The following is a 27,129-nucleotide window of genomic DNA, read 5'->3' as shown; positions in this document are numbered from 1 at the left end:
CTCCACCTCAAGAAAAAAAAAAAAAAAAAAAGAGACAGATTATCAGTTATATACGAATTTAGATAAGTAGATAAATTTTTAGGATAAGCATATCCCATTAAATATTGCATGGGACATACTTGTACTAAAAACTATTGGTTGTTTATTTGAAATTCAAATTTAACTAGATGTCATGTATTTTTACTTGTTAAATCTGGTAACCCTGGATGGTGATAGAGGAATTGGGGGATAAGGAGGTCATTTCTGATAAAGCGAATGTTATTTTAAGGAGTAGAGAGAGAGATAAAGTATATTCCTGAGAAAGAGAGTATTCCAATCTGCTCAGAGCATGTGATTGTGGAGTATTAGGAGATAATGAGATAATAAAAATAAGAACTTAGGTATATTGAGCATTTCATGTCAGATCTCTCTTACCTAGTTTAGCCTGCCTTTTTCTCAAAATCCACCTATAACATTCACCACTTTATAAAAAAACTGAGGCTTGGCCGGGTGCAGTGGCTCACACCTGTTGTCCCAGCACTTTGGGAGGCCGAGATGGATGGATCATGAGGTCAGGAGTTGGAGACCAACCTGACGAACATGGTGAAATCCCATTTCTACTAAAAAAATACAAAAATTAGTTGGGCATGGTGGCACGCATCTGTAATCCCAGCTACTCTGGAGGCTGAGGCAGGAGAATCGCTTGAACCTGGGAGGCAAAGGTTGCAGTAAGCCGAGATTGCACCATTGCACTCCAGCCTGGGCAATAGAATGAGACTCCGTCTCCAAAAAAAGAGAAAGAAAAGAAGGGAAAAAAAAGAAAACTGAGGCTTAGCTGGATCGTGTACTCTGACCTGTGACATTTGGTTGGCAATTGAGAGAGGCTGGGTTTGACCTCAGATGGCATGAGCTCATCCACTCTACACGCCACTCATGATAGAAACAGAAGGGTGGGAGGAGACAGATGAAGAGACTGGGAGCTCATAAGGGTAGGATTGGCACTTTTTAAAGCCTAACCTCCATCCTGAAGTGCTCACTCCGTGTTAGATGAAACTGTTGATGTTCTTGTAAGAGGCCTAGCACTTTAGTCACCAACCAGGATTAGGATTAGCTGGGCTTGTGACAGACTAGGTGGCGGGACCCAGCTGAGTTGGGGAAACTGCATGCATATTGGGAAAAAAAATGAATTGAAGGTTCAGGATAAGGTAGTTCTTTGAGAGCACCAGACTGTGAAGAAGGGACTACATCTTACTCTGATTTTTAAAATGATGGTGCTCAATAAATGTCTCATAATGGTAACATAATGGAGCTCTGAAGCAGGAGCAGTGCCTCCTCAATCTTATTTAAGCGCTTTCTCTTTTCTCTATTGGAGAGAAGAAGTGGCTGATCACTGGGCTAGTGCTTCACAAAAAGCCAAAATTATTTCTACAAATACCAGGACTCGGAGAGGGGAGTTTTGGTCACAACACCAAGATATTTAGAATTCTATCGAATATTTGACAGCAATATTTATTCTCAGTCTTTCTTATTTAGCTTCTCTAGTCCATACCTTCTTACACACCCTCAGTGTCCTCAAATTAAGCTAACTTATAAAATTATAAAAACCACTCTCTCTGATGATAGCAACTAGGGGAGAAGCTGCTTTAAAAATAGTTTCAATGGAAAATCCCCAAGAAATTTGGAGTCATTTGATGCAAAAAAAAAAAACAAAGTCCTGCTCAAATCCGTCTGCACAATGATGCTTTTTCAAGATTTGGCAAGGCCAGTTTGTTTTACTTTGGTGAGTTACAGAGTCTTGAAACATACTAGAAGGCCCAACTTTGGTGATTACTTACTCTTTATTGCCCTGTAGTTATTTTCCAGAACCATAAGCAGTTCCTTAGGCACTCTCTAAAAAAAGTATTTATACATCCTTAGTCTTTCCTCAGCTAATCCATTAAACTAATTAACTTTTGGTCCCTATTCCTCATTAACAGCTGCTGCTCTGCCTATTTGCAAAATAATAAATTTGAAATCATGGTTGTCAACAAATATTATTACTAATATAAGTCTTCCCATTAACTTAGTGTAATTGTTATGGCAGCAAAGGTCATGTCTCTGGTCTTCGTCACTCTATTTACAATGCTTAGCACAGTGCTTGTCACCTAGTGGGAACACATTAACTATGTATTAAATGGATGGCATGAGCTAGAGTTTCCTGGCCCTGAAACTCTTCTTGCACATTAAGCTAATCCTGGATAAGACTATCATTCTGAACAAGAACCTTGTTCCCATACACCCAACAGACACACTTATCCCATCTTTATGTCTATTTTTTTCCTTAGCTTAATTTTATCATTCTCCACATTTACCTCTTTCATTATTTATTTTCAATCTCTTCTTTGGTGTTTCATTTGTTGCAGCCCTGCCCTTTCTCCCCCACCTGACTCTAGCAAGGCACAGTTCTGGGTAGGAGATGAGACTTCCTCTAAGCTTAGCCCTCACTGGGATGCTACTAGATCTCCCTACACACCTTCTCCACCACCACAGAGAGCGGTAAGACAATAATTTTCTATATGCATGCAAGGCTTAGAATTGAGGATTTCACTAAGAAATGGGACAAAAAAAAAAAAAAAAAAAAGAGAGGAAAGGGATTGAATGGAAAGTTTAGAAGCTCCATTGCAATCACCCTGAAGTACCATCTTAGGGAAAGAAAACTGAATTTAAATATTCCTTGGACTAATGAACCACTGTGAGAAGAAATTTAAGTTAATATAGGATTAGTTAATGATAGTTGTTAATAATTATTATTGTGTTGCTATATATTGGTAATATATTGGTAATTAACTAGAATTACAATAGCTGAAGATGTATTGAGCCTTTATTATATACTAGGAACAGTGTTAGGCACTGTACCTTATTATCTCATTGAATTAATGGATTCTATTATCTTCACGACTTTACTGGGAAGGAATCCGAGCCGCAGAGAGGTAAATAAATGTACCCGAGGTTTCTGGCTAGCCTGGGAGTTTAAGAATTCTGGCTCCAGAGCCCATTTGCTTCACCTATATACTACACTAGGTGAATGACCAATCTAAAAATTAACTTCAGATGCTCCAAATTCTAAAGCAGCCCATTGAGTTTTAATAAAATGACACAGAACCTTAAATCTCTAATTTGGCTTGAACTTCTGATTCACATGGAGATTATTCTTTTAAAATTAGCCTAAATGGAGCACCTTTCATGGCTTAAAACATAGGATTCTTCAAAAATGTAAATTTACCAAAAGTCTGATTGAAGTGAAACTATTGACTCTCATCCGGCAATATCACCCTGGTTCTCACCTAGTAACAATAATCCTCACAATACTTAGTGGAATATCTTCATAATTCACAGCTTATCTTCTCCCTGCCTGATCTCAGTCACCCCCAACTGCCTTCAGCATAACCTCAACTCAGAGCTAAAACAGTGAAAACATCAAGAACATAAATGGAAAAAGGGACAGAAAATTTAATATGCACATATTTTAATGTGGGACTCATATGTGCTTATGTAGAGATTTACTTGGTAGGTTAATGACAAATATGTATTTCCTTCCCTTTCTAGTCCTTTCCTCCTAGAAATTATGAAAAGAACCATCTGAGTTGTCCATTCAGTATTTCTCACTGTCCTACATATTTCAGTTCGATGGATTTACAATAGCTCAAGGATCTTTCAGCGTATATATTCAATAGAAAAACTTACTATTGGACACACACCCTAATTTGTAAGCTTTAGTAATTGCTGCGGCTATGTGAGCAAAACAACTTCAGAACAATAGGATATAAAAGCCCTGAATGTTGTGTTCATTTCTTCTACATCAATTACAGCTGGACTATAAACCTCTTCTGAGAGGAAGCTATGTCCATTTAATCAAGCTTTGCATACTACCCTGCATGAGTCCAGAGACACACCTGATATTAGTTGCTGCAATGCTACAGATATAGTTCCCTTATCAACTCTGACATCCTCTGGTGTCAGATATTTTGGCAGCAGGTAGAAAAATAGAGGGGACCGACTAATGGATTCTATTTAAGGACATTTGATGAAAATGTTGACTGGCCCATGACCGATTTTATTCTTAGCGCTTAAATGTTAGTCAATTTGAATGTTAATTAGCCATAATGACAAGGAGTGTCTCTTTTATGATCCTCTTAACATGTATCCAGAGGCTAATAAGTAATGGGTGCATCCCATAAATATAATAAGTAAATAAATTAGCATCAGTTAATTTAAATGTAAGCAAACTGCACTATCTGCTCTCCCTGCATTTCAGCTATTTTCCTCTCAGCATCTCTTCTCGCCTCATCAATTTCACAATCTAAACAATATACTCTACAGCTGAAGAGCAAGGTCAGACATTATTGAATTCAGTGTAAAGCAAGTGGACCTTTTTTCACTTTTTAGACACATGTTGTCAGATAACTGGGTGGTGAGAATAAAGGTCAAAGGAAATGAGACTCGTAAAACTCTGTGTGGACAACAGCTTTCACCACGGTGATTAATCCAGATGGTTAGCACAGTCATCAAAAAGGTTAATTTGGTCAGAGAACTACCTAGACTCAATTTTTTGAAAGCTGAAATGACTAGGTAAGTGAATGATCGAATATTTCAGCCACGATAAAAGGATCAGTTGGGTTTGTAGATGCCTGTAATTTCCTCCACTGGCTGTATCAACTAGAATTTCTGGATCAATTACAGGTGCTCCACTCTGGATGGTAGAATATAGTCAGGAACATTTTATAAACTGGGTCCCAATAGCTTTTGTTTCTGTAAATCACTGTCTCTTAGAGGAAAAGGCCACAGGGACACATTCCAGTTAGAAAGGAAAGGAAGAGAGTTATTTGAGAAAGATGCTGTTATTTCATCCCTGCCTCTGCTTACTCATTCACTCGCTCACTCAGTATTAGTTTCTGGATTGTATTAGTGGATACATTAACAAATTTAGCACATCTCACAGAGAAAGGCTGAAGCTTGGAGATTGAGTGGGAGTAGACACTGGAAGCTTAAACTGAGGGGCACCCTCCCTGGAGGTACCAATTGCCACACAGTGCATGCCAGAGTTCTCATGGGAACATCCCTACTGGGCTTTAAAAGTAGAGACCCTGACACACTTCTCTCTCCAAGAAATGTGAATGGCGGTCAAAGTTGCTGCTCTGTCAGTCAAGGGGCAGGATTTGGGAGCAACTGGTTTTCTTAGACAGATATATTTCATTCAATGTTTCATTCAGTCTTCCTTGCACAAGAAATGCCAACGTAATTTCCAGGGAACAGCCTGAACAGGGGCCTTCACCTTCCTCCTTCTAGAAGGGGCTAAACAAGCTCATTTAGAATGATGCAATCATCCTGGTTCTGTTTAAATTTCCTCTACCCATCCATTAACTATGTGGCCAATGGCAAAAAAAAAAAAAAAAAAAAAAAAAAAGAAGAAGGAGGAGGAGGAGGAGGAGAAGGAGGAGGAGAAGAAGAAGAAGAAGAGGAGGAAAGGAGCTTCATCTTCTTCTAGGAATTTATTCAGACTCCTCATCTTTTTAAGGCCAGGAAGTGGCTTCTTCTCAGTCCTCCCAGGCCACTGACCTTTGGCTCCTGCATCCACCCTGCTCCGGCCTATCAGACTTGCCCTGGCTTGAGCACAGCTGAGTCATCCTTGGGAACTTTGTTCTTAGCATCTTGAATGTGCACGCTTGTCCTGATATGATCACCAGGACTGGACCTCAGCATGGCCCCTAGCAGCCCTGCAGCCAGGCCCTGCCAGAACCCTGAGGGAGACATGGGGACAGGGGCCACTCCAGTCAGTGCAACCTGCCCCTGTGCTGACACACTGGCTTACAGCCACCTGCCAGGGGCTGCTCCTCATTGTTCTCAAAGCAAAAAAAAACCTCTTTCAATTTTTCACACCACTGGACCCAAGAAAAAAATTAAACCCAAAGCAGAATAGCCTCAGGCTTTAGATCTCCCTACCTCCTTCAGGCTTTTATCTAAGCTCCTTTATCTCTGCTATCCTTGGTGGTGACCTGATATTATTTAAGTGAAAAAGGTTGGCCAGCAAGAGTAAAGTATAAAATGAGAGGGAAAAAGAGTAACTCTACAATACAGAAACCCAGCAACATTACCTCAGCAAGGTCAACATCAATAGTGATAAGTCGTATTGATATAGCTCTCTTAATAGAATACAATAAAAATGGCACTTTACACCTACAGTCTTCTTCCCAAAAATACACACTAACACAGGCTAATCATGAGAAAAACATTAGCTCAATCCTAATTAAGGGTCATTCTACAAAATATCTGACCAGGACTCCTCAAAACTATCGAAGTCATCAAAAACAAAGTCCAAGAAACTGCCATGGCCCAGAGGAACCTAGGGAGATGAGAGGACCAAATGTAATGTGATGTCATGGATGGGATTCTGGGAACAAAAAATACCCTAGGTAAAAACTAAAGACATCTGAATAAAGTATGGACTTTACTTAATAGAAATGTCTTAACATTGGCTTACATTAATTGCAGTTTGACATGTATGTAGTTGTTTGTCAGAAGGTCGGATCCCAGGGCAAGCTGGACTCAAGCCCTTATGCCAGGTCCTTAGCAAACAGAATCCTGAACCACAGAGTTAAAAACCTGATCCTGGGAACTGGGTTGCTGAGAATCACAAGGGCCCCACCTTAGCAGAAGGATGGGAGGATAACAGGTGAGTCCCTGGATTCTAGGGCTGGCTGGCTGGAGAGGGGATTCAGAGCTATCGTGTTGCCAATACACAGCCCAGTAGCCCTGGGGTGTTCAGGTCTGCTGGAGGGAGGGGAAGCCTTTGAGATGATTTAAAACTGACTTTCCCATGTCACAGCAACCGGGAGTCTCAACCAAGTGGAGTCAAGGAAGGTAGTAGAGTCAGAGAAGTCAAAGAGGGGATAACATCATAAGCACTATAATAGGGTCCTAATAAAATGACCACAACTCAGTCCAAAAGCTGATACAGTGTATTCAGTAAGCATTAACATTTAGAAATGCGTGTGGAATCCTTTGGCTTACCAGACATTGCATAATAACTCAGGATTAGTAACAAAAAGTAAAATAAAAGCTTATAAACCAAGACTAATTAGTGTGAAAGTCAGTCTAAGTTACAGAAATATTTTACACATAGTTCTTTCACTTTGTCCTATGGAGACAGAAGCAGACACTGTGGACGGCATTAGCGCAAAGGTTGGGATACTCCAAATTGCCCTATTGCAAATTACTCGGAAATGTATATGGTAACAGACACTTTTGTGGACACCATATTATGTGCCCTGTGCTTAGCACTGTGTGCTTAGCTGTCCACGTGTATAGGTTAAAGATTACCCTACTAAATACTTCATAATGAAGGGAACATTATATTCATTTTACTTATAAGAAAGTAGGGCTATTCAATTTTATGTAACTTGTCCCAAGACCACTTGAGTACTGAAACTGACACTGAAAGAAACAGAGAATCCCCAGATGCCAAGTCAGGCACTAATCTCTCCTGGTCATGGTTTCAGGCCAAGTTCTGGGAAGTGAGGTTCATCGTGGGATCTTACGAAGGGTTAGCCAATCAGTAAGGTCACTGCTAACAAGCAAACAGGTCCATTAAAATACTGGGACTTTGGAGCAAGATAGACCAGGTTCTAATCCCAGCTCCGCCACTTGGTAACTGTGAGAACTTGAGTAAGTTACTTACCATCTCTGAGTCTCACTTTCCTTATCTATATAAGGCATTTTAGTATTACCCCTTCCATAGGACTGTCACAAGAATTAAAAGAGATTTTGTAGTATAAAATGCTAGAAACTATTTATTGTTACATAGTAAACAACCAGTTTAATAATTCATTTTAAAAATGTATATGTATCACAAAGTTATACGTAATACAACCCACATTCTCAAAAGTGAGTGCTGTGAAGTCTTTGTTCTCTCAAAGCCCCACTAAAACCCCAATTATCACCTGTGGACTGTTCAGAGCAAAGTTAATTCTCAGCGTGCCTTTTCTTTGCTTCCACAGCAAATTACTGATGCATCTATTAAAGCATCTATCCTATGTGCAGTGTGGTTAGTTCTTCTGGGTCTCTCTTTCAAGCTTGATGTGTGCTTTTGAGGATAAGATTATATCACTGCTTCCCTAAGATCTAGAATAGTGTCTAGCACTTGGCAAAAGTTACACACACACACACATTTTTTTTTTTTTTTTTGCGACGGCGCTTTTTCACCCAGGCTGGAGTGCAGTGGCGTGATCTCGGCTCACTGCAAGCTCCACCTCCTGGGTTCACGCCATTCTACTGCCTCAGCCTCCTGAGTAGCTGGTACTACAGGTGCCTATCACCGCGACCAGCTAATTTTTTGTATTTTAGTAGAGATGGGGTTTCACCGTGTTAGCCAGGATGGTCTCGATCTCCTGACCTCGTGATCCACCCACCTCAGCCTCCCAAACTGCTGGGATTACAGGCCTAAGCCACCATGCCTGGCTGAGATATATCTTTAATCACTGAATTCTGCTTTAAGGTGCTTAGTAAATCCTATTAAGAAAATGTTAAATATCACAACTAAAACATATGCACTGAAAGTACAATTTGCCTTATCTAAGTATACTCTCCAACATATAATGACATTGATACGATGCTTTGATTCGCAATGTCTTCGAAATTCAAAGATTGGCTACATCAATGTAGACACCCTAAAATGTTGGAATTGAAATAGGCTCTATTCCATTGTGCTGTCCCCCAGAAAAGCAGCTCCAAGCTTCATCACTGCAGGCTAAAGAGCTGACTGAACTCCAGGCCAGTGTGGACAAGGGTAAAGAATATCAAAGTCAATGCATTGTTGTTATTTGTTTCAACTACGAATTTCCCTTGGGTTCCTTTTAATGTCTCTGGCTTTCTTAGAATTATAAGTGGCAATGCTCAAAGGCAATGTTAAGAAAAATGCCTGATTTCACATACAATATGTCCTGCAAGGAATTCATTTGCCTGAAATAAAATGAAAAATGTAGACATGGTTCAAGGTTGTATTCATCCACATGGTGAGAACAGAGCATGAAATTATAGGGGCATGAGTATTAGGGAGAGTGGAGCTTTCATGTAGATTCCTCAGAGATGAATTGAAGTTACGGTCCCAGGAGGCATTTGTGCAACACTTGCCTGTTGCCCTACCTGTCAGATTTACATTGTGAGTCTGCTGGGTCCAGCTATAATTTTAAGTTTGATAGCATGGCTGACAGTCTATTATGCTCAATGCATTTTTTAAAACTTTTACTTTCGAAGAAAAATCACAGCTTTCTTATTCTTTTCTATTCATCATACGTCCATGTTGCTAAGGTGGAGTCTTGGAATTTTCTTGGTCTCAATGCGGTAGAATAGGCCCATCCCATGGAGTTTTGCCATAAGACTGGCCCTGGAGAAAGGCAGAGGCCAAGATCCCACATTTGGCATGTTTTAAACCAGTTCTGAGAGATACCATTGCATATTTGTTTTCTTGCCATCCGGAGTATGATAGGAATCTCCCAACAGAGAGAGCACTCTACTTGCTATTCTAGACCTAAGGTCCTCATGACCTGGTGATCCAAGGAATTGGTGCCCTTTGGAATGTCTTTGTGAGGAGGCAGAGCGAAGGGAAAGGATATTGTCTATGTGTTTCTGGAAACTTCTGTGAAACCAGCAGCCATATTTTCCCACCTGTGTCTATCCTATTTCTCAATATTCACTTGTTAGTAGCACTGGTCCCAAAGACACCACCTCGTCAGGGACACACCATGGAATCAGGAACTTCTGGGACATAAACCTTTCCATTATTTTTTCTTTCCTTCTGTAATAGATGAGAACATGAGTCTCCAAAAGGGCAAAGTTATTTACTCACAAAGCAAGAAAGGGTTTCATGTATTCCTTTGCTTTTGGAAAGACTCAGTTTATTCCTAATTTATTCCAGGAAGGTAGAAATCCAAGGTACAATTAATGACCTTCAGATATTCTGCGAACTCTATTATTGATCCATCCTCATGATTAACAGCCCCAGTGGTCAATATATGAGTCCTTAATTCTAGTCACAGTCTTCCCTATTACAGAGTTCCTCTTGTTTGGTTTTCTCAGAGGAGAGGTAGAACTCAAATCAACTCATAAAATAACAAAGACATATGAAAAACACAATGCATATCTTTTACTGGATTTGTCCAATAGACAATAAGGACTCTGAGAAATAGATTATTTCTGATTATGGAAGTTAAAGAAGTCCGTGTATTTAGAAAAAAAGACGGGGGAAAATAGGACTATCAATAAGAAGATGTGTATCTGCCTTCCCTGGAGTATTCCTCTTTAATATATTTCCCCTACTTTGGGATAGTTAATTGTGCTGTCACAGGAATGGTTCCTAGAGCCCAGGTATTGCAGGTGGCACCCTAGAGCAACAGGAACTCCCTCTTGTCCTACTCTGTTTAGCAGTCTTTCTACCCAAAGCTGTGCTGCATGAGGATTCCAAATACCCAGGGTTTCATTTGGATTTATGTAAAATTCCACCTTCATGTTGGCTTGGTTTTTCAGATCCCTCCTTTTAGTGAGTTTATTTAGGACCCTTTTTAAATACTAATTAAATTGAAAAGCATGCTGGTCTAAGAGACAAGCCATCCATGGGCTAAACCCATTATACCCTCTTTGAATCCCAGTTACATCATCTACAGAATGGAGGGTCAGAGATACCTGAATACGTATTTAAGATCTATCCCATTTTGTATGTTACTTCTCTCTACGAGGTCAAGAATAATAAAGGAAAAGGGAGAGGGTATTTGTCCGTAAGCTTTGCAAACTTCTATCATGTTCACAGTGTTTGGATCCCAAGGAAAGACTGGGAACATGAGCTTTAATTCCTGGAGAAGACACAGCTGGGAAGAATAGGCCTAAACAAGCACAAAAACCGCTAGTGTTAAAGTCAAATAAGTAGTGACTCTGTTAACTATATTAAGGGATGCCACATAATATATCATCTACAGTTTTTGAGAATAAACTGGTATACTATTAAATAATTACACTGGAAAACCAAATATAAACTGGGGCTGTCTCATGAAAACTACTATAAATAGTCAAAACTTTATGAATGGTCACCTTGCTAAATGCCAATAGGTGTCCTTTTTTTTTTTTTGTAACCATGCACTAAAATTGAAGAATGTATTTTATCATGAACTGTGGGTCTCAATGCTTCAAACAGACTGAAAAAAAAATAAAATAGCATAAAAGACACTGAATGGCAACATAAAGCTGGAAATGTCATTTAGGACTCTGGAGATGTCCTAGTTTTGACCTCATAGAAATATTGCCTAATTAATGACACACAGTATGTACTAAAACATCTTATGAAAGACCCTAATATTCATCCTTATGCAATTTCTGTTTTTCGGCTGTGAACATTACAAAAAGGTCTAGCACATTTGTCGTCACCCTTATAAAATGAAACTTTTATAATTTCATTTCACAAACTGTTCCTCTTTTTCCCTCCTGCCTATAAAAAATACTTTTATGCAGTGTCTACCCCAGTAATTCAGTCAAAAACAAAGTCATTTGGTGACAAAGAAAACATGAAGTCAATTTTTTTTTCTTTAGGTGATCTCCATTTGACTCAAATTAAATAAAACAAGGCCAGGTGCAGTGGCTCATGCCTGTAATCTCAGCACTTTCGGAGGCCGAGGCAGGCGGATCACCTGAGGTCAGGAGTTCAAGACCAGCCTGGTCAACAGGGCAAAACCCTGACTCTACTAAAAGTACAAAAATTAGCTGGGAGTGGTGGTGTGCACTCATAATCTCAGCTACTTGGGAGGCTGAGGCAGGAGAAACACTTGAAAAGGGAGGCGGAGGTTGCAGTGAACCAAGATGGTGCCATTGCACTCCAGCCTGGGTGACAGAGTGAGACTCCATCTCTTAATAAATAAATAAAATGCAAAACACATAACATAGTGGACAAAATAAATAGTTAAGCAGCCCCACTTGGGCAGCTTTAGGATATGATCCACAAAGGATTTCAACTAATGTGTGCATTTATATTATAATGTATTCTTACAGCAGAACAGCCTTAAGGCTGCATTTAGGCAGGGCATAACTCATGTCCACTACTCACTTTGGCCACCATGTTTGAGGCTTCAGTTGTTGGCCGGTTCCATCTGGCTGAAGTTGATACTTCCTGAAAGAACCTTTGTAGTTAGGACCAAAGGTATTTAGACAGCATTGTCCCTGTGTGAATGAACCCACACTATGGAACCATACACAATTTCTCTTGGTGCTCACTTAAGCAAATAGCTGGTAGACACAAAATATATGTAAAATCATTTGACAGACCTGGGAAAAGAGATTTTCTTTGTCCTGGATCTGCCAGAACACCTTTCTTTGGTAACAAAGGTTCTAGATTTTCCTTTAATCCTTTTGTACATCATACAAATTTGTCTTAGACCCACCCATGGCTAAGCTGACATTCCTTTGTATGAGGGCTTTTACATTAACTTCAAAGAATTCGCAGTCTTTCAGAGTACAAATCTTCAATGTTCAAGTTCTAAATATAGAGTTTTAGCTAGCTTCATTTCTATATTGGTTCCTGTTTTCTACTACATGTGTTCTGCTACATATGTTCTACTATATACTAGAGAAGTAACAATACTCTAGCTGATGCTTTGAAAAAAATGTTTGCTACCTCTCCCATGGGGTTGGCATTTTCTTCCTGTTTCTCTTGGTGAATTATCTGTGTGTTATTTTTATGTCTCTATCTCCCTCACACACAAACACGTCTTTGTCCATCCATAGACGGACAAAGATCTCTCCACAATCATCTGACAGTGTGACGGTAAAAAGATTATACAGATGAGTAGCATAGAGTTGCCTACTTTTAGAATTATCCAGTATATTAAAAATACAGACACCCAGAGCCCACCTCTCCCTCTTGAATCAGATATCAGAAACTATAGCATGTTGGCCCTGGACATCACTTTTAGAAAGCTCCTTGGGGTATTCTGATGATCAACTACATTTGGAAATCACTGATTATAAATTACCAGAAGTTTAACTGAAAAATAAAACACACTTTATTGAAAATGTTTTCTGCACTATACAGGAATCATTGACTTTAACTTGCTTCCCAATTTCTATTAATAGTCTGGAATTTTGCTGGGTTTTTTTAATTATACTTTAACTTCTGGGATACATGTTCAGAACATTCAGGTTTGTTACATAGGTATACACATGCCATGGTGGTTTGCTGCACCCATCAACTCATCATCTACATTAGGTATTTCTCCTAATGCTATCCCTCCCCTAGCCCCCCACCCCCAAACAGGCCTTGGTGTGTGATACTCCCCTGCCTGTGTCCATGTGTTTTCATGGCTCAACTCCCACTTATGAGTGAGAACATGTGGTGTTTGGTTTTTTGTTTCTGTGTTAGTTTGCTGAGAAAGATGGTTTCCAGCTTCATCCATGTCCTGCAAAGGACATGAACTCATGCTTTTTTATGGCTGCATAGTATTCCATGGTGTATATCTGCCACATTTTCTTTATCCAGCCTATCACTGATGGGCATTTGGGTTGGTTCCAAGTGTTTGCTATTGTGAATAGTGCTGCAGTAAACATATGTGTGCACGTGTCTTTATAACAGAGTGATTTATAATCATTTGGGTATATACCCAGTAATGGGATTGCTGGGTCAAGTGGTATTTCTGGTTCTAGATTCTTGAGGAATCACCACACTGTCTTCCACAATGGTTGAACTAATTTACACTCCCACCAACAGTGTAAAAGCATGCCTATTTCTCCACATCCTCTCCAGCACCTGTTGTTTCCTGACTTTTTAAAGATCGCCAGTCTAACTGGCATGAGATGGTATCTCATTGTGGTTTTGATTTGCATTTCTCTAATGACCAGTGATGATGAGCTTTTCTTCATATGTTTGTTGGCCACATAAATATCTTCCTTTGAAAAATTTCTATTCACATCCTTTGCCCACTTTTTGATGGGGTTGTTGGTTTTTTCAATTGTAAATTTGTTTAAGTTCCTTGTAGATTCTGGATACTAGCCCTTTGTCAGATGGATAGATCAAAAACATTTTCTCCCATTCTGTAGGTTGCCTGTTCACTCTGATGATAGTTTCTTTTGCTGGGCAGAAGCTCTTTAGTTTAATTAGATCCCATTTGTCAATTTTGGCTTTTGTTGCCATTGCTTTTGGTGTTTTAGTCACAAAGTCTTTGCCCATGCCTATGTCCTGAATGGTATTGCCTAGGTTTTCTTCTAGGGTTTTTATGGTTTTAGGTCTTATGTTTAAGTCTTTAATCCACCTTGAGTTAATTTTTGTATAAGGTGTAAGGAAGAGGTCCAGTTTCAGTTTTCTACATATGGCTAGCTAGTTTTCTCAATGCCATTTATTAAATAGGAAATCCTTTCCCCATTGCTTGTTTTTGTGAGGTTTGTCAAAGATAAGATGGTTGTAGAAGTATGGCATTATTTCTGAGGCCTCTGTTCTGTTCCATTGGTCTATGTATCTGCTTTGGTACCAGTACCATTACCATGCTGTTTTGGTTACTGTAGCCTTGTAGTATAGATTGAAGTCAGGTAGCATGATGCCTCCAGCTTTGTTCTTTTTGCTTATGATTGTCTTGGCTATATGGGCTTGTTTTTTGTTCCATATGAAATTTAAAGTTGATTTTCTAATTCTGTGAAGAAAGTCAATGGTAGCTTGATGGGGTTAGCATTCAATCTATAAATTACTTTGGGCAGTATGTCCATTTTCTCTATATTGGTTCTTTCTATCCATGAACATGGATTGTTTTTCCATTTGTTTATATCCTCTCTTATTTCCTTGAGCAGTGGTTTGTAGCTCTCCTTGAAGAGATCCTTCACATCCCTTGTAAGTTGTATTGCTAGGTATTTTATTATCTTTGTAGCAATTGGGAATGGGAGTTCACTTATGATTTGGCTCTCTGTCTGTTATTGGTGTATAGGAATGTTTGTGATTTTCACACATTGATTTTGTATACGGAGACTTTGCTGAAGTTGCTTATCAGCTTAAGGAGATTTGGGGTTGCGACAATGGGTTTTCTATATATACAATCATGTCATCTGCAAACAGAGACAATTTGACTTCCTCTCTTCCTATCTGAATACCCTTTATTTCTTTCTCTTGCATGATTACCCGGGCCAGAACTTCAAATACTATGTTGAATAGGAGTGGTAAAAGAGGACATCCTTGTCTAGTGCTGGTTTTCAAAGGGAATGCTTCCAGCTTTTGCTATTCAGTATGATAGAGATACGTTCCATCAGCACCTAGTTTATTGAGAGTTTTTTGCATGAAAGGTTGTTGAATTTTATTGAAGGCTTTTTCTGCATCTACTGAGATAATCATGTGGTTTTTGTCATTGGTTCTGTTTCTGTGATGGATTATGTTTATTGATTTGCATATGTTGCATCCCATGGATGAAGGTGACTTTATCGTGGTGGATAAGCTTTTTGATGTGCTGCTAGATTCAGTTTGCCAGTGTTTTATTGAGGATTTTCACATTGATATTCATCAGGGATATTGGCCTGAACTTTTCTTTTCTGTTGTGTCTCTGCCAGGTTTTGGTATCAGGATGATGCTGGCCTCATAAAATGAGTTAGGGAGGAGTCCCTCTTTTTCTATTGTTTGAGATAGTTTCAGAAGAAATGATACCAGCTCCTCTTTGTGTCTCTGGTAGAATTCGGCTGTGAATCTGTCCAGTCCTGGACTGTTTTTGGTTGGTAAGCTATCAAGTACTGCCTCAATTTCAGAACTTCTTATTAGTCTATTCGACTTCTTCCTGGTTTAATCTTGGGAGTGTGTATGTGTCCAGGAATGTATCCATTTCTTCTAGATTTTCTAGTTTATTTGCATAGAGGTATTTATGGTATTATCTGATGGTAGTTTGTATTTCTGTGGGATCAGTGGTGATCTCCCCTTTATCATTTTTTATTATGTCTATTTGATTCTTCTCTCTTTTATTTTTTATTAGTCTGGCTAGTGGTCTATCTATTTTGTTAATCTTTTCAAAAAAAATCAGCTCCTGGATTCATTGATTTTTTTGAAGGGTTTTTCATGTCTCTATCTCCTTCCGTTCTGCTCTAAGTATTTTCTCGTTTTCTGCTAGCTTTTGAATTTGTTTGCTCTTGCTTCTCTAGTTCCTTAATTATGATGTTAGCTTGTCGATTTTAGATCTTTCCCACTTTCTCCTGTGGGCATTTAGTGCTATAAATTTCCCTCTAAACGCTGCTTTAGCTGTGTCTCAGAGATTGTGGTAAGTTGTGTCTTTGTTCTCACTGGTTTCAGAGAATTTCTTTATTTCTGCCTTACTTTTGTTATTTACCCAGTAGTCATTCAGGAGCAGGTTGTTCAGTTTCCATGTAGTCGTGCAGTTTTGAGTGAGTTTCTTAATCCCGAGATCTAATTTGATTGCACTTTGGTCTGAGAGACTGTTTGTTATGATTTCCATTCTTTTGCGTTTGCTGCAGAGTGTTTTACTTCCAATTATGTGGTCAATTTTTGATTAAGTGCTATGCAGTGCTGAGAAGAATGTATATTCTGTTGATTTGAGGTCGAGAGTTCTGTAGATGTCTATTAGGTCCACTTGGTCTAGAGCTTAGTTCAAGTCCTGAATATCCTTGTTAATTTTCTGTCTCGTTGATCTAATATTGACAGTGGGGTGTTAAAGCCTCCCACTATTATTGTGTGGGAGTCTAAGTCTCTTTGTAGGTCTCTAAGAACATGCTTTATGAATCTGGGTGTTCCTGTATTGGGTGCATATAAATTTAAGACAGTTAGCTCTTCTTGTTGCATTGATCCCTTTCCCATTATGTAAGGCCCTTCTTTGTCTTTTTAAATCTTTGTTGGTTTAAAGTCTATTTTATCAGAGATGAGGATTGCAACCCCTGCTTTTTTTCCTTTCTATTTGCTTGCTAAATCTTCCTCCATCCCTGTATTTTGAGCCTATGTGTGTCTTTGCATGTGAGATGGGTCTCCTGAATACAGCACACCGATTGGTCTTGACTCTTTATCCAATTTGCCAGTCTTTGTCTTTTAATTGGGGCATTTAGCCCATTTACATTTAAGGTTAATATTGTTATGTGTGAATTTGATCCTGTCATGATGCTAGCTGGTTATTTTTCCCATTAGTTGGTGCAGTTTCTTCATAGTGTCAATGTTCTTTACCTTTTGGTATGTTTTTGCAGTGGCTGGTACTGGTTTTTCCTTTCCATATTTAGTACTTCCTTCAGAAGCTCTTGCATGGTAGGCCTGGTGATGACAAAATATCTCAGCATTTGCTTGTTTGTAAAGGATTTTATTCTCCTTCACTTATGAATCTTAGTTTGGCTGGATATGAAATTCTGAGTTTTTTTTCTTTAAGAATGTTGAATATTGGCCCCACTCTCTTCTGGCTTGTAGGGTTTCCATAGAGAGATATGCTGTTATCCTGATGGTTTCCCTTTATGGGTAACCCGCCCTTTCTCTCTGGCTGCCCTTAACATTTTTTCCTTCATTTCAGCCTTGGTGAATCTGACGGTTATGTGTCTTAGGGTTGCTCTTCTTGATGAAGTTGCTGTTTGTATTGTTCACTGTATTTCCTGAATTGGAATGTTGGCCTGTTTTGCTAGGTTGGGGAAGTTTTCCCGGATAATATCCTGAAGAGTGTTTTCCAACTTGGTTCCATTCTCCCCGTCACTTTCAGGTACACCAATCAAACATAGATTTGATCTTTTCACATAGTCCCATATTTCTTGGAGGATTTGTTCACTCCTTTTCATTCTTTTTTCTCTAATCACATCTTCACACTTTATTTCATTAAGTTGATCTTCAAACTCTGATATCCTTTCTTTCACTTGATTGATTTGGCTATTGATACTTGTGCATGCTTCATGAAGTTCTCCTGCTGTGTTTTTCAGCTCCATCAGGTCATTTATATTCTTCTCTAAAGTTATTCTAGTTAGCAATTCCTCTAACTTTTTTCAAGGTTCTTAGCTTCCTTGCATTGGGTTAGAATATGCTCCTTTAGCTCAGAGGAGTTTGTGATTAACCACCTTCTGAAGCCTCCTTCTGTTAATTCGTCAAACCCATTCTCCATCCAGTTTTGTTCCCTTGCTGGTGAGGAGTTGTGAGGTTTTGGAGAAGAGGCATTCTGGTTTTTGGAATTTTCAGCATTTTTGGACATTTTTCCTCATCTTTGTGCATTTATCTACCTTGGTCTTTGATGTTGGTGACCTTCAGATGGGGTTTCTGTGTGGATGTTCTCTTTGTTGATTTTGATGCTATTCCTTTCTGATTGTTAGTGTTCCTTCTAACAGTCAGGCCCCTCTGCTGCAGGTCTGCTTGAGTTTGCTGGAGGTACACTCCAGATGCTGTTTGCCTAGGTGTCACCAGCAGAGGCTGCAGAACAGCAAAGATTGCTGCCTGTTCCTTCCTCTGGAAGCTTCATCCTAGAAGGGCACTCACTGGATGCCAGCCGAAGCTCTCCTGTGTGAGGTGTCTGTCGACCCCTGCTAGGAGATGTCTCCCTGTCAGGAGGCACACAAGTCAGGGACCCACTTGAAGAGGTAGTCTGTTCCTTAGTAGAAATCTAGTGCTGTATTGGGAGATCCACTGCTCTCTTCAGAGCCAGCAGGCAGGAATGTTTTAAGTCTGCTGAAGCTGTGCCCACAGCCACCCCTTCCCCCAGGTGCTCTGTCCCAGGGAGATGGGAGTTTTATTTATAAGCCCCTGACTGGAGCTGCTGCCTTTCTTTCAGAGATACCCTGCCCAGAGAGGAGGAATCTAGAGAGGCAGTCTGGCTACAGCAGCTTTGCTGAGCTATAGGGGGCTCTGCCCAGTCCTAACTTCTGGGCGGCTTTGTTTACACTGTGAGGGGAAAACTGCCTACTCCAGTCTCAGTAATGGCGGACACCCCTCCCCCAACAAAGCTAGAGCATCCCAGGTCGACTTCAGACTGCTGTGCTGGCAGCGAGAATTTCAAGCCAGTGAATCTTAGCTTGCTAGGCTCCATGGGAGTGGGATCCACTGAGCTAGGCCACTTGGCTCCCTGGCTTCAGCCTCTTTTCCAGGGGAGTGAATGGTTCTGTCTTGCTGGCATTCCTGCACCACTTTGGTATGAAAAAAAAAAAAACTCCTGCAGCTAGCTTAGTGTCTGCCCAAACAGCCACCCAGTTTTGTGCTTGAAACCCAGGGCCTTGGTGGTGTAGGCACCCAAGGGATTCTCCTGGTCTGCCGGTTGCAAAGACTGTGGGAAAAGCATAGTATCTGGGCCATAATGCATCATTCCTCATGGCACAGTGCCTCACGGCTTCCCTTGGCTACGAGGGAGTTTCCTGACCTCTTGAACTTCCCAGGTGAGGCAACACCCTGCTTCTGCTCACCCTCCATGGGCTGCACCCACTTTCTAACCAGTCCCAATGAGATGAAGATGAGCTAGGTACCTCGGTTGGAAATGCAGAAATCACTTGCCTTCTGTGTTGATCTCGGTAGGAGCTATAGACCGGAGCTGTTCCTATTCAGCCATCTTGCCAGCCACCCCCCAAATTTTGCCGTTTAACCCCTGAAAGCTTACCACATGTGGACAAAAGTGCCAAGATATGCAGGACATATCTTAGTCATGTATCTTTGATAGCATATCACACTATCAAAAAATGTTCAGTCTTTGCCATCTATGATCTACTCATATCCAAGAGGGAACTTGGTTAGTACTACAGAGCATTAAGTCAATGGAAGTAAAACAATGTAGTGTCATAAAGCATTTTCTAGATTAAAACACCTGAAGTTACAATGATTTGGGCCCATATGTAACATGTCAGTTCAGTGAACCAAGGTCAAAGGAATTGCAGTTTCACACCCCCAGACTAAATCATCCCGACAAGCATGATGAATGATCTATTCTGAGGACAGGTAAGACTAAGTGCTGCAAGTTCTCAATTATGAGAGGTGCCTGTGGGAAGTCTGAATCATCCTAAGTCAGGAGCTGGGGTCTCCTCTTCACTCTTCAAAGGCAGTGGCTTAGCCCACCCTTAGCTTAAGACAATGTCAGTAATCTATGGGAAATTATCAAGACTAAGGATGAGCAAATATGTCTCCATTTTTGAAAAAAGAGAAAATGGCAGATGAAACCAGTGAGCTTGACACTGATCTTCAGCAAAATTCTGGAGCATATTAACAGGGAAATATGGGGTCTCTTAGGAAAGGAAGTAGAACTCATAAAAACCAGCACCTGTAACCAAGAACAATTTTGGGAATTGTTCCAGCTGTGCCAGCCCAACTTTGTTTCACACTTTGACAGGTTATTAGATAAGGAGACAGAGCTTAACAGGCCTTCAGTGAGGAATTTGCAAAAGTCTCTCAAGATATCCTTGCAAGTTATATAAAGAAAGATGGGTTCAATGGCAGCACTAAAATAGATTAGAAAGTGGTTGAATGATCATAACTAAATGGACCTGTGCCTTTGGTGATATGTCTTCTAGTACACTGTCCTTGGTTCTCTCCAGTTCAACAAATGTATCAATGACATGATAAAAAGATAAAAGAAATTCTTGTCAGCTCTGAAGTTTCCATGTAAATTAGTAGAAAGCCAAATGAAATGGATAGCAGATTCAAGATCCAAAGTGGTCTCCAAAGAATGGAATCTAATTGGATGAAACTGGGATAAGTGTGATTCAAGACTTGATCCATCTAGATCAACTATAGAGTGATACAGCAAGATACTTTCAGGTTAATGGCAATTAATATAAAAAATAACTTCGAGGCTTTATTTGACAATAAGCTGAAAATGAGTTAGCAATAGGATTAGGCCATCAAAAGAGCTTAAGTCTTCATGCTTCAGGCTTCATGAATAGCAATTTGGTTTTCAGAATAATAATGGTGGTCATCCGGGAATTCCATCATAATAAAAACTTAGATATTCCTGGGCTCTGAACATGCCAGTCTCTCATGTAGACCAGCATGCTCTGACACCTCCCTGCTTCTACTGCACACACACTCTTTGCCGCTGGCTAACCCTTCCTTCAGCTCTCAATGTAGATGCTACAAGAAGTTGTCCCAGACCTCAGGACCAAATTAGGTCCCCTTTCTCTGGGCATCTGTATGGCTAACAGCCATCAGATGATGTCTAACACTGTATGATACTATTTTGAATTGTCTGTTTCCACCTCTCTACTGTAAACAGCTTGCTCTGTTCAATGTTACATCCACAGGTTTACCAATGTTTCTTACTTAGGATATGTTCAATGAACATTTATTGCATTAATGAGTGAGGTAATTCAGATAACAATCGGAATGATGGAGAGATCCAAAAATACATCCCAAGACAAGTGATTGAAGAAACTACAGATTCTTACTGTGGAGAAAGGAAAACATATAGAGGTGATATGAGGGTAGTCTTCAGTTGTGTGAAAGTCCAAAGAAGAGTAATTCAACTTACTGTATGTGGCATGAAGGATAGAAGCTTTGAGAGGAAATATATTAACATGGTTTAAGAAATGACTTTCTAAGAGGACTATCGAAAATGAAATAAGTTCACATGAGAGGAAATAAGTTCACACACTACAGACATGCTAGAGCACAGGCTATTTGGCCACATGTGATGAATGCTATAAAGGAATTTTAAGTGCAAGTTGAAAAACTGAACTAGACGTTAAGTTCTCTAAGATTCCATGGTTGTATGATCAAGTCACAGAAATATATTCATGTAGAGCTCACACTGTCTTCCTCTGTGGAATAATAGGGATAAGATCTTTGTCCAAGAGAAATTGCATATCACTGGAATGGAAGAGTCCATTGTCTTTTGACTTGATCTTATCTATGCCAGGAAACTGGGTAAACTTTTTACATAGCATCGAATTGCTAAGCCTATTTCTTTTTCCATACAATGAAAAACTAGGTTGAACAAAATGATTCTCAATACTATTATGGATATATAATCTATTTTATGTTATTCAATGGCTTTAAATAACCTAGCCAAGGAGAACAATTGCTTTTCAGATGATATCCGTTACATTACATGCATTATGGCTGAGTCTCTCAGTGGCCAAATCCACTGAATTAGAACACTCAATAATGCACTGCCAAGATGGCTAGATTAATAGCTAGATATTGAATTACATTTTTTTTTTATAAAAAAGTGTTCCCCACCTGAGATCAGATGGACATCAATGGCCCTGATTACTGCTGAAAGGAGTCTTGCTGGCTGAGTTTCCACAGTTACTATCACAAATGACAGGCACTAATGTGCTGCAGTCTCCCCTTCTAGAGAGAAGCCCAGCCTGATCAGGACTCATAAACACTCAAATTTTTTGCCCTGACATTGGAAAGCACAGCCCAAGCTTTGGACATTTTCATTTAACACCGCATTTACAAAAATAAAAGAAAAATTGATCTCAGCTATGCTAGCATCAAATCTCTTGACATTATATTGGAATAGGCCATCTTTTCCATGAATACAGTTCCCTTTAGGTCATGTCAAAATCACAATCCACTTCTTAGAAACGAGTCAATATTTAGTCATCTCTACTCAAATTACATCTTGGCCTGGACTGAATTTTGTTTGTTGGTTTGTTTGTTTATGAAATACATGAACTGTCTGAGGGGGTACCTTCTGAAAGAGTGGGCCATTCTTATAACAGTGATATCTACATTATTAGGTAAAGAACACAGCAGAAAATGCAGTAATAGCCTCTTTGTCCAAGGCTAAGAAAAAGCTGTGAAAAAAAAGTCATGTGAAAATACTATGACATATAGGCACTTGTTTTTAATACACTAGGAATGAAGGATATATTCTCTTTGTTTTTCCAGTTTTCATTGTCTTAACTATAAATGTGAATAATCATAACATTTATAAGAGCACAACTTAGTGTACAAAATGGATGACAGATTAAAGATCCAAAGTGGTCTCAGAAGAATGGAATCTAATTGGATGAAATTGGGATAAGCATGGGTTCAAGACTTGATCCATTTAGATCAACTACACAGTGACATACCAGGAAACATTCAGGTTAATGACAATTAATATTAAAAAATCTTAGATGTTTTATTTGACAATGAACTAAAAATGAGTTAGCAATATGATTAAGCCATCAAAAGAGCTTAATAAGGCTTCATGCTAAATACACTATTTAGTTTATTTAATAGTGATTTTATAGGTGTTAAAGTATAATAACTGTTCTTATAAGTGTTGTTTACTTTAACATGTATAAGAACACTATTAAGTATCAGGCATATTATATAGTAACTCACTTAACTCATAATGGCCTTATTAAAAAGGTCATTACTTGCTATTATCCCCGTTTTACAGATGAGGAAACTGAAGCACAGCAGATACTGTGGTGTATCCCTCAGAGTACCGTTAGGACCAAGGAATTCATTCCTCAGCTGCTACTGGCTGCTGAAGCTCACAACTGAGTACTTCCCCTAGGAATTGCCCTCAGCCAAAGGGATCTTCTTTCCCTGGGGTTGTATACCCTCCCTACAGGAAGCTCATATTCAAGAACGGATCATTGGTGGGGAGTACAAAGGAAAGGCTCAGTCCACTTGCCTTAATTCCAGACACTGAAAGGCCATTGGGTAAAGAGGCATCCCAGCAGTTAGTGGTACCCACTGATCATCTGAGGCCTTCGTAATAGCAAATGCATCACAATTCAACTGTACTCTATGCCCAATCCAGCTTCCCTTACGCTCTCATAGGTGTTATTCCCAAGAACTCAACACAACTAATTTCCTACAGCAAGTCTCCATCTTGGAGACTGTATCATAAATAACCCAACCTATGACAAGTTTCTTGTCCAAGGTCACACAGCTAGTAAATGGCAAACCCAAGCAATACAGCTCCATTCTAAGTGTTCTTAGCCACGATGCTAATGTGCTTCTTCTAAGTAGGCTTAATTTTATGTCTGCATCTCAGTTAAAAGCCTGGGGAAACATTGCCCAAGTTGAGTGATCGTTAATGTTCCTCTAGATAGTTTAGGTGTACTTCAACAAATGTGACCCTGTTCAAATAACTTCAGGAAATGGCATATATTTTTTCCCATCTTGGAGAGTCTCCATGCATGTTAATATTTTAATGGCACTGAACATTTCTACAATTAAAAGAAAATTTGTTTACCCAAAATTGTTTGAACTTTTCAAGCCATAGCACCCTCTTGTGTGAAACATCTATTAGCACCAATCTGCTAGCGTCCTGCAGAAGCCATTAAGAAAATGCTGGTCTGGAGATACTATCACTCTTCTTCCAGGGGTATTCTGCCTCCCCTTTTAAAGCACACTTAGACATCCAACTACCTCTGGGAAGCTATATTAGACAGGCTAAAATATTTGTGATGTTTTGACCATCTCTACACAGAACTCTTTGCATTCTCTCTTTTTAATATAAATTTAAGGGGTACAAGTGCAATTTGGTTACATGAATATATTGCATAATGATAAAGTCTGGGTTTCTAGTATACCTATCACCTGAATAATGTACAGTGTACTCATTAAGTAATTTCTCATCACCCACCTCCTCCTCACCTCGCTATCCTTTTGAGTCTCCAGTGTCTTTCATTCCATACTCTATGTTCATGTGTATACATTATTTAGCTCCCACTTATAAGTGAGAACATACAGTATTTGTCTTTCCATTTCTGAGTTTTTTTCACTTAAGATAATGGCCTCCAGTTCCATTAATGTTGCAGCAAATAACATGATTTCATTCTTTTATATGGCTGAATAGTATTCCATTGTGTACTTATACCACATTTTATTTATTCAATCATCCATTGATGGACAGTTAGGTTGATTCCACATCTTTGCTACTGTGAATTGTAAATGGGAAAATTAAACCAGAAAGCTTCTCCACAGCAAAAGAAATAATCAACAGAGTGGACAGACAACGTGCAGAATGGGAAAAAATATTTGCAAACTATCCATCCGAAAAGGGACTAATATCCAGAATTTACAAGGAACACAAACAACTCAACAAAAAATAAATAAATAACCCCATTAAAAAGTGGGCAAAGGGTATGAATAGACATTTTTCAAAAGAAGATATACAAATGTCCCACAAGCACCTAAAAAATACCCAACACCACTAATTATCAGAAAAATGTAAATTAAAACCACCATGAGATAATATCTTATACCATTCAGAATGGCTACTATTAAAAAGATTAAAAAATAACAGATGTTGGTGAGGAAACAGAGAAAAGGGACCACTTATAGACTGTTGATAGGAATGTAAATTATTATCCCTATGGAAGACAGCATGCAGATTTCACAAAGAACTAAAAATAGAACTACCACTCAATCCTGCGTTATCTGTCTTAATGAATAACTTATCTTTGCTTTGCATTCCCAAATGTCATAATATTATGCATAATAGTTTACATAAATGTCTGGCTAGATTGCAAATATGTTATCCTTGCATGTAATGGAGATTCAGTGGGGAAAGTTTTAGGCCTGGACTTCAAATTCAACTCTAATATTGTGGAGATTTAAGAACCTACTGTTACCTTACTGAGCATCTTTTATTTTTCTCTTCTATAAAGAAAGGGTGGGGCCGGTTTGTTGAAATGTAAGATGTCTTTCACCTCTAACATTACAGAATTCTATAACTTCTGATTCCATGTATAATGTAGTTGTTAGTGGGCAGGATCTAGAATCAAAATAAAAAAAGAAAGAAACTGAATTGAATATTCTTTTTATCCAAATACTATCTGTGTTCTGAATGGCCTGGGACACTTATTTTGCTCTTAAAATATTACTTTTTTCATTAGTAAAGTCAAGATATTATTAATATTTACCACAGAGGGTTGTGTGAGAATTAAAAGATAATATATGTAAAGTACTTGGCATTGTCAAGCATGTGTTAAATGCTCATTCAATATTTGCCATTTTCTTGTAATGTCACTGATGGTGGTGGTGATAGTAGAGATGGTGGGGATGGCAGTGGTTTAGGGAAGAAGTGTTGTAGTAACTGTGTCTAAATTTTGTATTTGCCCTATATTTCAAATGTGTAGACGACTAAGACCACTTGTTTAGAGCAACTTAGAAGGGCACATGGTCACAGGAATTAATAAATGCACTTGAAGTTTAGGGATGGTGTTGTAGAAAGATGCTAAGATGCATGGGAAAGCCACTATGCTGCACCTCATCCTTCCACACTCAAGAGCAACTTGGAGAAGGTTAAGGAAACCAAACACTGACAATTATAGTTAAAACACTGTGTATCAGGACTAAACACTGAACATACAAGATTTAGGTTCAAAAAGAAAGAGAAGCAACTCAAATACCAAAAGGACTTGGAAAGATGACTATCAGAAATAGGATAATAGTCATGATTAATGAAGAAAAATAAACATTCCACACTTCCTCTGTGGAAACAAAGGACATAAATTGCTTTTGGATAAAATTAGATTGGCTATAAAGAAAAATGGTCTAACTCTAAGATTGGTCAGCACCAGTGTATTCTACAAAAGGGTGTACTGTGTCCTCGACTTGGTGATCCACGGATGTTAGGGTGAATGCATGTCTGTATAGACTAGTTAAGAGAATGTTATCTACAGAGGGAAAAATGCCAAGTAATTATTTGCAATTCCCAAGCTTTGATGATGATGAAACTTAACATGCTAAATGCTGCTATTTTCCAACATTGAGCTGCTGACAAAGAGATTTTTCAAGGGATTCCTTGGGCCAAATGTCTCCTTTAAAGACCTAGGGATAAGTCAGCTAGGAGTGGGTGCTTTCAAAGACCAATAACAACCAATCCCTAATTAGACACAATCTCCTAAGCAGGGTATGAACAGAGTAACAGAGACTGGCACTAGTAAATTAAAATTTTAAAATCCTGCTGTAATCACTACCCTGCTATGTCCCCTTCTTTAAGCTCCACTCTCAGTTATTTTTTATTTATTGTAATTACTTTAGTAATAAGATTTGTTTCCTTGTTATTATGCAGAGTAATGACAAAAAAAATGGCCAAAAAGAGTTATGTCTCTTATTTATCTCCTTGGCCATTAGTTATCGGACCAGAGGGAAGGGTAGGGGGCAGAAAGAAGCTGTAAATAGAGAAGAAAGCATTTTCTGTGGAGTGAAAATGTATGGGAGCATGTTTGCAAGAAGGAAGGTGGGCAATGAAGGAGTAAGGCTAATAATTC

The 27,129-nt window shown here is 39.1% G+C and overlaps 1 protein-coding gene across 5 annotated transcripts in view; it reads right to left on the bottom strand.

Annotated features, from left to right (window-relative positions):
* The window catches only part of AGBL1 (AGBL carboxypeptidase 1), a 951,857-nt gene that overhangs the window by 592,788 nt on the left and 331,940 nt on the right, over window positions 1-27,129 (bottom strand). The gene's annotated exons all lie outside the window — the stretch shown is intronic.

The sequence above is a fragment of the Homo sapiens genome, chromosome 15, assembly GCF_000001405.40.
Source record: "Homo sapiens chromosome 15, GRCh38.p14 Primary Assembly".
NCBI lineage: Eukaryota > Metazoa > Chordata > Mammalia > Primates > Hominidae > Homo > Homo sapiens.
This window is presented reverse-complemented; position numbering and strand designations above follow the sequence as displayed.